Source organism: Homo sapiens, chromosome 7, assembly GCF_000001405.40.
Source record: "Homo sapiens chromosome 7, GRCh38.p14 Primary Assembly".
Classification (NCBI taxonomy): Eukaryota; Metazoa; Chordata; class Mammalia; order Primates; family Hominidae; genus Homo; species Homo sapiens.
In genome coordinates, this window is record NC_000007.14 from 109,209,285 (window position 1) to 109,221,429 (window position 12,145).

The window sequence follows — 12,145 nt, forward strand, 5'->3', positions numbered from 1 at the left end:
GTTAAAATGGCATGTTTACTTTGTGAATTCATACAGACCCAAACTTATAAACTGTCTATTTTTCTTTGGTGTTAAATTGTAAATAATTATAAAATATATATTTAATTTTACACTAAACATTTTAGTAGTCTAAATGTCAATATTGCCATTATGGTTAATGCTTTTGATTGTAGGTCCTGTGAAGAGCAAAATAATCAAAAGTTTCTTTTACCGTTTTTTTTTCATCTTCAACTTTTATTTTAAGTTCCAGGGTACATGGGCAGGATATGCAGGTTTGTTACACAGGTAAACATGTGTCATGGTGGTCAGCCGCACAGATCAACCCATCACCTAGATACTAAGCCCAACATCCATTAGCTATTCTTCCTGATGCTTTCCCTCCTCCTGCCCCTGCCAACAGGCCCCAGAGTGTGTTGTTCCCCTCCATGTGTCTATGTGTTCTCATTGTTCAGCTCCCAGTTATAACTGAGAACATGTGCTGTTTGGTTTTCTGTTCCCGCATTAGTTTGCTGAGGATAGTGGCTTCCAGCTCCATCATGTCAATGCAAAGAACATGATCGTGTTCCTTTTTATGGCTTCATAGTATTCCATGGTGTTTATGTATCATATTTTCTTTATCCAGTCTATCATTGATGGGCTTCTGTGTTGATTTCTTATCTTTGCTATTGTGAATAGTGCTGCAATTAACACACACGTGCATGTATCTTTATAATAGAATGATTTATATTTCTTTGGTATATACCCAGTAATGGATTGCTGGGTCAAATGGTATTTCTGCTTCTAAATCTTTGAGGATCTTCTACAGTGGTTTAACTAATTTACATTTCCACCAACAGTGTAAAAGCATTCCCTTTTCTCCGCATCCCCACCAGCATCTGTTGTTTCTCAACTAATTGCCATTCTGACTGGCATGAGAGGGTATCTCATTGTGGTTCTGATTTGCATTTCACTAATGATCAGTGTTGTTGAGCTTTCTTTCATATGTTTGTTGGCCACATGAATGCCTTCTTTTGAGAAGTGTCTGTTAATGTCTTTTGCCCACTTTTTAATAGGGTTTTTTTTTTCCTGTTAATTTGTTTAAGTTCCTTGTAGACTCTGGATATTTGACTTTGTCAGATGGAGCAAAAATTTTCTCCCATTCTGTAGGTTGTCTCTTCACTCTGCACGGTTTCTTTTGCTGTGCAGAGGATCTTGAGTTTAATTAGATGCCATTTGTCAATTTTTGCTTTTTTTTTGCAATTGCTTTTGGCATTTTCATCATGAAGTCTTTGCCCATGCCTATGTCCTGAATGGTATTGCCTGGATTTTCTTCTAGAGTTTTTAAAGTTCTGGGTTTTACATTCAAGTCTTTAATCCAACTTGAGTTAATTTTTGTATAAGGGTTAAGGAAAGGGTCCAGTTTCAATTTTCTGCATATGGCTAGCCAGTTCTCCCAGACCCATTTGTTAAGTAGGTAATCCTTTCCCCATTGCTTGTTTTTGTCAGGCTTGTTAAAGATCAGATGGTTGTAGGTGTATGGTCTTATTTCTGAGTTCTCTATTCTGTTCCATTGGTCTATGTGTCTTACCAGAACCATGTATTTTGGTCATTGTAGACCTGCAGTATAGTTTGAAGTCAGGTAGCATAATAGCTCCAGCTTTATTCTTTTTGCTTAGGGTTGTCTTGGCTATTTGGGCTCCTGTTTGGTTCCATGTGAATTTTAAAATATTTTTTTCTTATTCTGTGAAGAATGTTAATGGTAGTTTAATGGGAATACCATTGAATCTATGAATTACTATGGACAGTATGGCCATTTTCACAATATTGATTCTTTCTATCCATGAGCATGAAATGTTTTCCCATTTGTGTCTACTCTGATTTTCCTGAGCAGTGGTTTGTAGTTCTCCTTGAAGAGGTCCTTCATTTCCCTTGTTAGCTGTATTCCTAGGTATTTTATTCTCTTTGTAGCAGTTGTGAATGGGAGTTCATTCATTATTTGTCTCTCTGTTTGCCTATTGTGCAAGTTGATTTTGTATCCTGAGACTTCACCAAAGTTGCTTATCAGCTTAAGAAGATTTGGGGCTGACACAATAGGTTTTTCTAGATATAGAATTATATTATCTGCTAATAAAGATAATTTTACTTCCTTTCTTCTTATTTGGAAGCCTTTTCTTTTTTCTCTTGCCTGATTGCCCTGGTCAGAACTTCCAACACTATGTTGAACAGCAGTGGTGAGAGAGGGCATCCTCGTCTTGTGCCGGTTTTCAAGGGGAATGCTTCCAGCTTTTGCTGATACAGTATGATATTGGCTGTGGGTTTGTCATATATGGCTCTTATTATTTTGAAGCATGTTCCTTCAAAACCTAGTTTACTGAGAGTTTTTTTTTTAACATAAAGGGATGTTGAATTATATTCAAAGGCCTTTCTGCATCTTTTGAGAGAATCGTGTGGTTTTTGTCTTTAGTTCAGATTATGTTATGAATTACATGTTTTGATTTGTGTGTGTTGAACCAACCTTGCATCTCGGGCATGAAAGCAACTTGATCTTGGCAGATATTCTTTTTGATGTGCTGCTGGATTCAGTTTGCCAGTATTTAAATGAGGATTTTTGCATCGATGTTCATCAAGATTATTGGCCAGAAGTTTTCTTTTTTGTTGTTGTATCTCTGCCAGGTTTTTGTATCAGGATGATGCTGTCCTCATAAAACCAGTTAGGGAGAAGTCCCTTAATTTTAAGTGTTAAGAATAGTTTCAGAAGAAATGGTACCAGCTCCTCCTTGTTCCTCTGATAGAATTAAGCTGTAAATCAGTCCAGTCTTCAGCTTTTTTTGGTTGGTAGGCTACTTATTACTGCCTCAATTTTATAACTCATTCTTGGTCTATTAAGGGATTTAGCTTCTTCCTGATTCAGTCTTGGGAGGGTGTATGTATACAGGAATTTATCCATTTTTTCTAGATTTTTTTTTAGTTTATTTGCATAGAGGTGTTTATAGTATTCTCTAACGGTTGTTATATCTGTGGGTTCATTGGTGATAGTCCCCTTATTATTTCTGATTGTATTTGTTTCTTCTCTCTTTTCTCCTTTATTTGTCTAGCTAATAGTCTATTTTATTAATTTTTTCAAAAACTCCTCTCCTGGATTCACTGAGTTTTTGAAGGGTTTGTTGTGTCTCTATCTCCTTCAGTTCCACTCTGATCTTAGTTCTCTAGTTATTTAAGTTGTCATGTTAGGTTGTCGATTTGAGATCTTTCTACCTTTGATCTTTGAGGTTGCTAACCTTTGGATGGGGTTTTTGTGGAATCTTTGTTGTTGTTGTGTTTTCTGTTTATTTTGTTTTAACAGTCAGGCCCCTCTTCTGTAGGGCTGCTGCAGTTTGCTGGGGGTCTGCTCCAGACCCTAATTGCCTGGGTCCCTCCTGCACCTGGAGGTATCACCAGTGGAGGCTGAAAAACAGCAAAGATGGCAGTCTGCTCCTTCTTCTGGAAGCTCTGTCCCAGAGGGGCATTGACTTGATGCCGGCCTGAACGAGGTGTAGGAGGTGTCTGGAGGGGGTGTCTGGAGGAGGTGTCTGGAGACCTGTAGGAGGTGTCTGGAGACTCTGTTGGGTGGTCTCACCCAGTCCGGAAGAATAGGATTAGGGGCCTGTTTAAAGAAAGAGTCTGGGTACCCCCTGGCAAAGTGGGTGCACTGTGCTGTGGGGAACCCTCCCTGTCCAGACCCCCAGACTCTCCAGAGCCAGCAGGCAGGTAAGGCTGAGTTGACTGAACCACAGAGACCATGGCTGTCCCTCCCCTGAGGGTCTCCGTCTCAGGGAGATTAGAGTTCTATTTGTAAAACTCTGGCTGGAGTTGCTGAAATTCCTGCAGGGAGGCCCTGCCCAGTGAGGATAGATAGTTTGCTGTCCCATTTAAATAGGCAATCTGGCCACAATCTGCCACAGCAGCTGTGCTGTGCAGTGGGGAATTTCTTCCAGTCCAAACCAGCCAGAATCCCCAGAGCCAGCAGACCAGGACAGCCAACTGGAGCCACAGAGATAGTGGCCTCCCTTCCGCCCAGGAATTTGGTCATCTCAGGCATCTCCAGCCTGCTGCTGATGGCTGTCTGGAATTCCAAGCCTGTGGGCCTTAACTTACGAGGTGTTGTAGGAGTGGGGCCTGCAGAATGATGCCACTTGGCTCCCTGGCTTCAGCCCCCTTCGTAGGGGAATGGATGGATCTCCTGCCTCATTGAATTCCCTTGGCTCCCTGGCTTCAGCCACGTTCCGTGTGTCTTTGTGCATGCCTGAGCTGCCACCAAGAGTTTGAATAGCTCTGTGTTTCGGACCCAAGGCCCTGGTGACGTGGGCTCACAAGGGGATCTCCTGATCTGCAGGTTACAAAGATCCATCGGAAAAGCATGGTTTCCTCGCATGATCACTCACTGCCTCCCTTGGCTTGGGGTGGGAGCTCCCATTGCTCCATGCGGCTCCTGGGTGGGCTGTTGTCCCACCCTGCTTTTCCTTGCTTTCTGTGGGTCATGCCAACCACCTAATCAGTTCCAATGTGAGAATATGGATACCTCAGTTGAAGGTGTAGAATTCAATTGCTATTTTCCTTTTTCTCTGTGAGAGCTGCAGGCTGTATTTGCTTCTAATTGGCCATCTTGGCCTGTCCTACTTAATCTCTTTTATTCTTGATTTTATATTTAGCAATTTTATTTGTTTTAAATTTCTTGTACTGGTACCCCAAAACAAAAAAATTTAGTATTAAAATGACATTTATGCAACAAATTTTCCTTTAATTTCATTATTGTTAACACTGAACTCTAATAACTCAAATAATATGAAAGCCTGGCATGTCAAAACACAAGAAAATTTCAAAACAAAAGGAAACATGGTCTCATGAATAAAAGAATTGTAAGTATAGGTCGGGCACAGTGGCTCATGCCTGTAATCCCAGCACTTTGGGAGGCCGAGGCAGGCAGATCATGAGCTCAGGAGATTGAGACCATCCTACACGGTGAAACCCTGTCTCTACTAAAAAATAGAAAAAAAATTAGCCAGGCGTGGTGGCGGGCACCTGTAGTCCTAGCTCCTAGGGAGGCTGAGTCAAGCAGGAGAATGGTGTGAAACCAGGAGGCGAAGCTTGCAGTGAGCTGAGATTGCGCCACTGCACTCCAGCCTGCGTGACAGAGTGAGACTCTGTCTCAAAAAAAAAAAAAAAAGAATTGTAAGTATAGCTGCTGAGAAATGGTAATATGTACATGCTACCAAGATGAATATGCAGTTTTGTACGGAAAATAATCAAGAGTTTCACTTAGCCTCAATAATTTCTAGCTGATTGAGTTGTATTGTGAATTCAGATGATGCATGCCATTTTACCTTATATCATAAACATTATGTACATGTTTCTGTTTCTTTACTAGAATATATATCCAGAGAAACTGCCCACTTCCAAACTTTCAGGGATGCTGGATACAATTGAACATTCTTTTAAATTGTAGGCTTAATTTCAGTAAGTGAATGAAAAATCTGTTGGCAACAAATACCAAGAGTGAGCTGCAGTGATACGCTAACTTGGGAGCATGATTCCCTCAATATTTGTTATCTCTTTGACTTAGAGACTGAGATCTTATAGCAGCCTCTAGGTAAACATGGAAGTGGAATGGATTAGGTGTGGGTGCAATTAGGACTCCTTGGGCTTTCCCAGCATAGAGAATTGTATCCTTAAAGCTCCAGTCTTCACATCTTTAGTAAAATAGGACTAGAAAAAAAAAATCTGCCAACCTATCAAAAGAAAAACAAAACAAAACAAAACTGGAAGTGATCTAATTCAGCTTGGGCGCCAGGAGGTTTTGTTTGTTTGTTGTTTGTTTGTTTGTTTTTGTTTTTTTTTGGTGTGTGTGACTCCTCTCAGAAAATCTAACCACATCCCTGACACACTGCAAGTTTAAAGTTCAAATTTACATTACCCTTGTGTTCTGGCAAATTACAGCCTGGTAAATTAAACAGTCACTGATTAGTAGTACTTCAATCTAATTCTTGTTAGCAAAATATGTGGAATCTACCTTCAGAATACATTTGATATAAAGCCAGTTCTCACAATCTCTCCCAATACCATTCTACTCTTAGCACCATAATCTCTCCTCTAGATCACTGTTGTTGCTGCATACAAGTTTCTTTGAACTTGATTCGTTTATTTATTCTCAACAAAGACAGATGGTGCCACTCATCTGCTCGAAACTCAGTGTTTTCCTATCTCATACAGAATAAACTCCCAGACCTTAACCATGGTCTTCTAGGCACCTTGCCCAGGCTCCTCCAGATCTGATCCCCTGCTGCTTTTCTGATCCCATTTCTTTCCAGGCTTCCCCTCCTTCACTTCTGTACCATGCACACTGACATATGCTGTTCTTGGGAAACGCCAGGCAAGTTCCTACCTCATAACTTTTGACTAGTCCTTTTGCCTGGAACACTCTTCCTCAGTAATTCTTATGATTATCTTTCTCTTCTTCAGATCTCTGCTCAATTAGCATCTGTTTTAGGTTGAACTATGCACACCCCCATTCATATGTTGAAGTCTTAACCCCCCGTATCTAAGCATTTGATCTTATTTGGAAATTGGGTTGTTGCAGATGTAGTTATGTTCCAATGAAATCATTAGGGTGGGCCCTAATCCAATGTAACTGGTGTCCTTACATAGAAAGGGGAGGCTTGGAAGACAAACATTCAGGGGAAATGCCAAATGAATAGAAAGACAGCCATCTGCAAGTTAAGGATAGATTCCTGAAACAGATCCTTCTTTCACAGTCCTTAGAAGGTAACAACCCTGCTGACACCTTCATCTTGGATTTCCAAGGTCCAGAACTGTGAGACAATACTTTTCTCTTGTTTGAGCTACCTAGTTTGTAGAACTCTGTTACAACATCCCTAGGAAATGAATACATCCTCTAATGAAAGAGGACTTCCCTCAGCACTTGATATTAATTAAAACTATGACTCTATTACTCTCTCTCTTGTTTTTTGAATTATTTATTCTTGGCATCTGTTTCTGTCTCCTTATCACAAAAATGGAAGCTCCCAAGTGGGAAACTTTGCCTGCATTATCTGTTATTATTAACAATTGTGCATGAAAAAAATAGAAAACTTGAATAGACCTTCAAGAAATAACTTAAAACTAATTCATACATGCTTCTCCAAATGAACAAACAAAAAACTTAAAAGCAAAACTAGACTCAATGTCAAATATTCCAGGAATAGATTATTGACATTTTATTAAAAATCCCTTAAGGAAAAAAACACATTAATTATATCCATCTTCTTTTAGGAGTTTGATATACATTAGATACTGAAAACATGAAAGTGCACCTTGTTATTTGTGTTTACAAAACCTGTGTAGTATTCGTTATGTGCTAGGCATTATTCTAAACACTTACTGACTCATTTAATCCTTCTAACAACCAATTGAAGTAGGTACTCCTCCTGTTCCCATTTTGCGTATAAGAAGTTGAAGGAACGGAAAATTTTAGTAATTTTTCTGAGATAACAATGACAGTAATTGGTAGTGAATGAACTTGAATGCAAACAACCTGACTCTAGAATCCATGCTTTAAAGCATTAAACTGTGCTGCTTTCAAATAGAAATTAACTACAGGGCAATTTCACTTACTAGTACATGTACAAATAACTTTAAATTATACTATGTAACCAAATCTAATAATGTCTCAAAAGGAAACACTTTATGATTGAGATAGTCATATTCTAGTATTTCAAGAATTATTTAATATTTGAAAATTATTAATGTAATACACAAAGTATCATTAAATGAGAAAGCAATATGTTCATCTTTTCATATGTGGAAAATACTTTTACATAATTCAGCATTTATTCATAATTACAAAAAATCTCAGCAAATACTGGGAAAAAATGTCTCCTAAAATCTCAGCAAACTTGATGAAATAAGTGTTTTCTTTTAAATCAGAGAAATGACAAGGATGCCTGCTGTAGCCATTTTTATTCAACATTATGCTCAAATTCCTAACCAGTGATATAATATAATAAAAATAATAAAAGCTATTAAGATTTGGAAAGTAAGAAACAAAATTGTCAATATGCTCACTCAATGTGTTTGTATACTTTGAAAATTCAAGAGAAAAATATTTGAAATTGATAAGTGCATTCAGCAAGATAGCTATATATAAGATCATAAGTCTATTCCTATACACAACAAAACAAGATGATATAAAAACAATGAAAACTATAAAGCATTCAGTAATAAATATAAAGAAAGTGTGTATGATGTTTAGGATAAGTTATAAAATTTTACTGAAAAGCATTAAAGAGTTAAGTACAGAAATATTTCATGTCCATGGCTGGAAAGTCTTAATGATACATATAGAATAATACCATCCTAATTTATATATTAATTTAATGAGTAGAAATCAAAATTCTGTCTTAATTTTTATGGAATTTGCAAGTTGTTTATACCAATTGTAAGGTAATTGAAAGGGCCAAGAATTATTGAAAAAATTTAAGAAAAAGAATATGTTGGTGGGTATTTTCCACTCAGATGTCAAAAATAACTTATGCTATTTGTTTAGAAAGATAGATAAGTGTACTAATGGAAGAGAACAGGCAAAATAAAAAAAATTGTACACATATTAAGCCGTGCTTTATGTTAGATACAGCACTATAGATCAATGAGGGAAATAATTGATTTATACACAGATAATGATGATGAAATTAGTTACCCACATGAAACAAATAAAAAATATATTTACCTCTTACCATGCCACAAAACCAATTCTAGAGGGGATGAAAATCTAATCAGCCACAATGTATACATATTTCAAAACATCATGTTGTATACCATATATCTATATAATTTTATTGTCAATTAAAAACTTAATTTGTCAATTAAAAAACTTAATTTGTCAATTAAAAATTTACAAAAAAGAAAACATAATTAGAGCAAAATGTTACAATGGGGAATGTCTGATTTCCAAAAGACAATACTTAAAATAAGTAAAATGGTAATACCCAAGGTCCACAGTCCAGGGGAAGTTAATTGCAGAATACACAAATGCCTAGCAGTAGTATTAGAATATCTAAATTAAAAAAACCTTGGCCAAGATTTAAATATAACATATAGAATAGTGCTGAATAGAAAACAGAAAATATTCTATCTACTTTTATATATATGTGTATGTATATATATACACATATAAAGAAGGTTATTAACATCAAAAGGAGGCACACAGAAGACTAAATGTATAGGTAATATCTTATTTCTTTTTTGAATTTTATTTTAATTGACAATAATTTTTATATAGTTCTGGGGTACAATGTGATGTTTTGATATATGTTTACAATGTGGAATGACTAAATCAGGCTAATTAACAATTCTATCACCTCACATACTTACCTTTTTTTTGGTGATGAAAACACCCAAAATATACTCTTTAAGCAGCTTTGAAATAAACAATGCATCATTATTTATTATAGCCAATATTCTGTGAAATAGATAACTAAAACTTATTCTTCCTATCTAACTGAATTATTCCTTAAGTGACTGCTGAGAACATGGACCTCATGATATTTATATACCGTATATATTATTTCACTGAAATATTTTATAAATTTTTTAATGTAGACAAAGGATACTGTGTGTTTAAAAATGCTGAATGACTTGCAGGTCACACTCTGTTTTGTTCAACTTTGTATCTCCAGATCCTGACATGAAATATTTCTCAGATAATTTGTTCATATGAGATTGTGAAAGAGTAACAGTCATTTAAATTATGATAAAAAATTTAATTAAATTACTATAAAAGAAATTTATCTTAAGAAGAAAATAAAGAGGTGATAGGTGAAAGTAATATATATCCAAGGATAATATAAACATTTACAGAGAAGGATTGGGGTTCAGGAGACCTCATTCCAAATCTGACCATATGACCATACACTAACTCACAGAGTAATTTTGGGCATGTTGTTTCTGGTGGATTAACATTTATCACAAATTCTTTGACATCCCTTTTACTCAGAAGTGGAGTTCCTTCTCCACCCCTGGTTCTGGGCTGGCCTTTGACTGATTTGTCCAGTGAAATATGGCAGAAATGACGCCCTCCCAGTTACTACCCTAGTCTTTAAGAGGACTGACAAGCTTCACCTTGGTCTCCGGAAGTCCTAAGCTAGCTACTATATAAGAAGTTCAGCTACCTAGCCAGAGAGAAGACATAGAGATCCCCTGAGACTACAGGGAGAGGGAGAAGGGCCAATTTGAGCCCAGCTTTCTAACTATCTCTGTAAAGGTGCAGGCATGTAATTGAAGCTGTGTTGGACCCCTCTACCCCAGCTCGAACATCAGCTAAATACCTCTGAGTAATCCCTAAGGATGGCATATAAAGCCAAATTGCCTAGCCAACTTGGCAGCTTGGACTGCTGTTTACTAATGGCTTTTTTCTTAAAGAATATATTTCACATTGTTTGAACATGACCACTTAAATGGGTTGTAATTCCTAGTCACAACAGAAATTTATTCAACAGAAATGGTGTTTATGGAGCTACTTCTGTTCAGACTGGCTTTTTCTTGCCCGTAAAATCATGAGATATAAAAGTATAGTTTTTGTTTGAAGCCAGTATGTGTTTAGTAGTTTGTAAATGCAGCAATAGATAGCTGGAACTGAATTTATTACCTGGAAGTGGGATGCTGCTGTAACAAAAACCTAAAGCGTGTGGACCAGGCAGTAGGTAGATGCTTGGAGGACCTCAAGTAGACTGACAGTGAAAGCTTAGAAGTAGATGGGGCCCTGAGGGACAGTGAGGAAAGGGTATTTGATGGCCAGATTAAAGGTTATCCTTGTTATACAGTGGTGGAAGGTTTAGCAATGCTGTTACCTATAGTAATATGAACGATGGGAAATAACACCTAGTGGCTTAATGATCTAAGATGATTTCTATGCAGAATTTGTAAAGAGCCAACTTAGTTCTGGTGGCCTCTGATATATGTACTAAAGAAGGAACTGTTAAGTTTTCAAGTTAAATTTGGAGAAATACAATGTATTCAGAACAGTCTTTCTAGCCAGCAAAGAGTTATCAAAAGAAGAAATAGTCTCAGGTGAAAGATGAAATCCAGAGCCATGAAACATGATATCAGGGAATAGATGTAAGGCTGTAACAAACTTTGCTAAGACTTCAGACCCTCTTCGCTGCATAATAGATTGGTGCTTTCAGAATCTCGGGAGTTTTCTACAGCTACATTGCAGACAACCCAACCAAAGCCTATCTCAGAAAAATATAGTTGTAAGACTTTTTTTCCTAATGAAATGAACACCAATAAAGCTCAGAGTAAAGCCACAGAGTTTCTGTTCGTTTGTTTGTTTTTTAAACAATTGCATTGGCAGAAGCACCACTAGCTTAGATCAAAAGGGAGAGCAGTAGTTCAGAAGAAGTTGGAGTTTCCAACTTTCAGTGAGCAGGAAGCTGACTGATAGGGCTATTCAGGTATTGACATTGGCCATCTTTTTTTTTCAATGTAAGAGGGAAGATGATTCAGAAGGCAGAATATAGAGCCCAGATAATGAAGCCAAGATTGCAGAGAATCTGTCACAGGGAGCAGGACTGGGTTCTAACTAATGAATTAGGAATATTGTATGAATGGATTTCAGAATTTCTATAGCCTATTGATTGTTATATGCTTCCTCTTCCCTTCTTTTTGAAAATGCATGTTTATCACAGTTTTCTTATGCCCCCCTTTTTATTGTATTTTATGTGTGTGTGTTGGGGATGGGGAATATAACTTATGTCTTTAATTCAAAAATTTTGCATTAACAGGAATCTTATTCAGGGAGTCTCATCCACATCTGACCTAATTTAGATAACGAGACACTGGATATCAAGTCAATTTTAAAATAAGATAAGACTTTGGGGGATCCTGTGAGGAGTTAAGGAGTTGCATGAGAAAATTGAATAATTTATGAACAGAGTGAGAACTATGGCATATTAAAAATGGCAAAAATTATTTGACACTCATTCCAATGAGTGGTTATGTTGGTTTCCCCACCATTTGAATCAGACTAGTAAATGACTACGTTGAATAATGAGTATGACTAATAATATTGCATATTCTGGGCCTATTCTTTAAAAGAACTGTCTTGATCTCTGGAAGTTCTGGGTTTCCATGCAAT

General features: G+C 37.0%; 2 annotated features.

The window, feature by feature from the left end:
• Positions 3,606-4,107: an enhancer, noted in NCBI's record as "H3K4me1 hESC enhancer chr7:108852947-108853448 (GRCh37/hg19 assembly coordinates)". NCBI's record gives its function as "activates a minimal SCP1, AML or CMV promoter by ChIP-STARR-seq in naive and primed H9 embryonic stem cells {active_cell/tissue: H9 hESC(naive and primed)}" and the evidence as "EXISTENCE:reporter gene assay evidence [ECO:0000049][PMID:30033119]".
• Positions 4,108-4,607: an enhancer, noted in NCBI's record as "H3K4me1 hESC enhancer chr7:108853449-108853948 (GRCh37/hg19 assembly coordinates)". NCBI's record gives its function as "activates a minimal SCP1, AML or CMV promoter by ChIP-STARR-seq in primed H9 embryonic stem cells {active_cell/tissue: H9 hESC(primed)}" and the evidence as "EXISTENCE:reporter gene assay evidence [ECO:0000049][PMID:30033119]".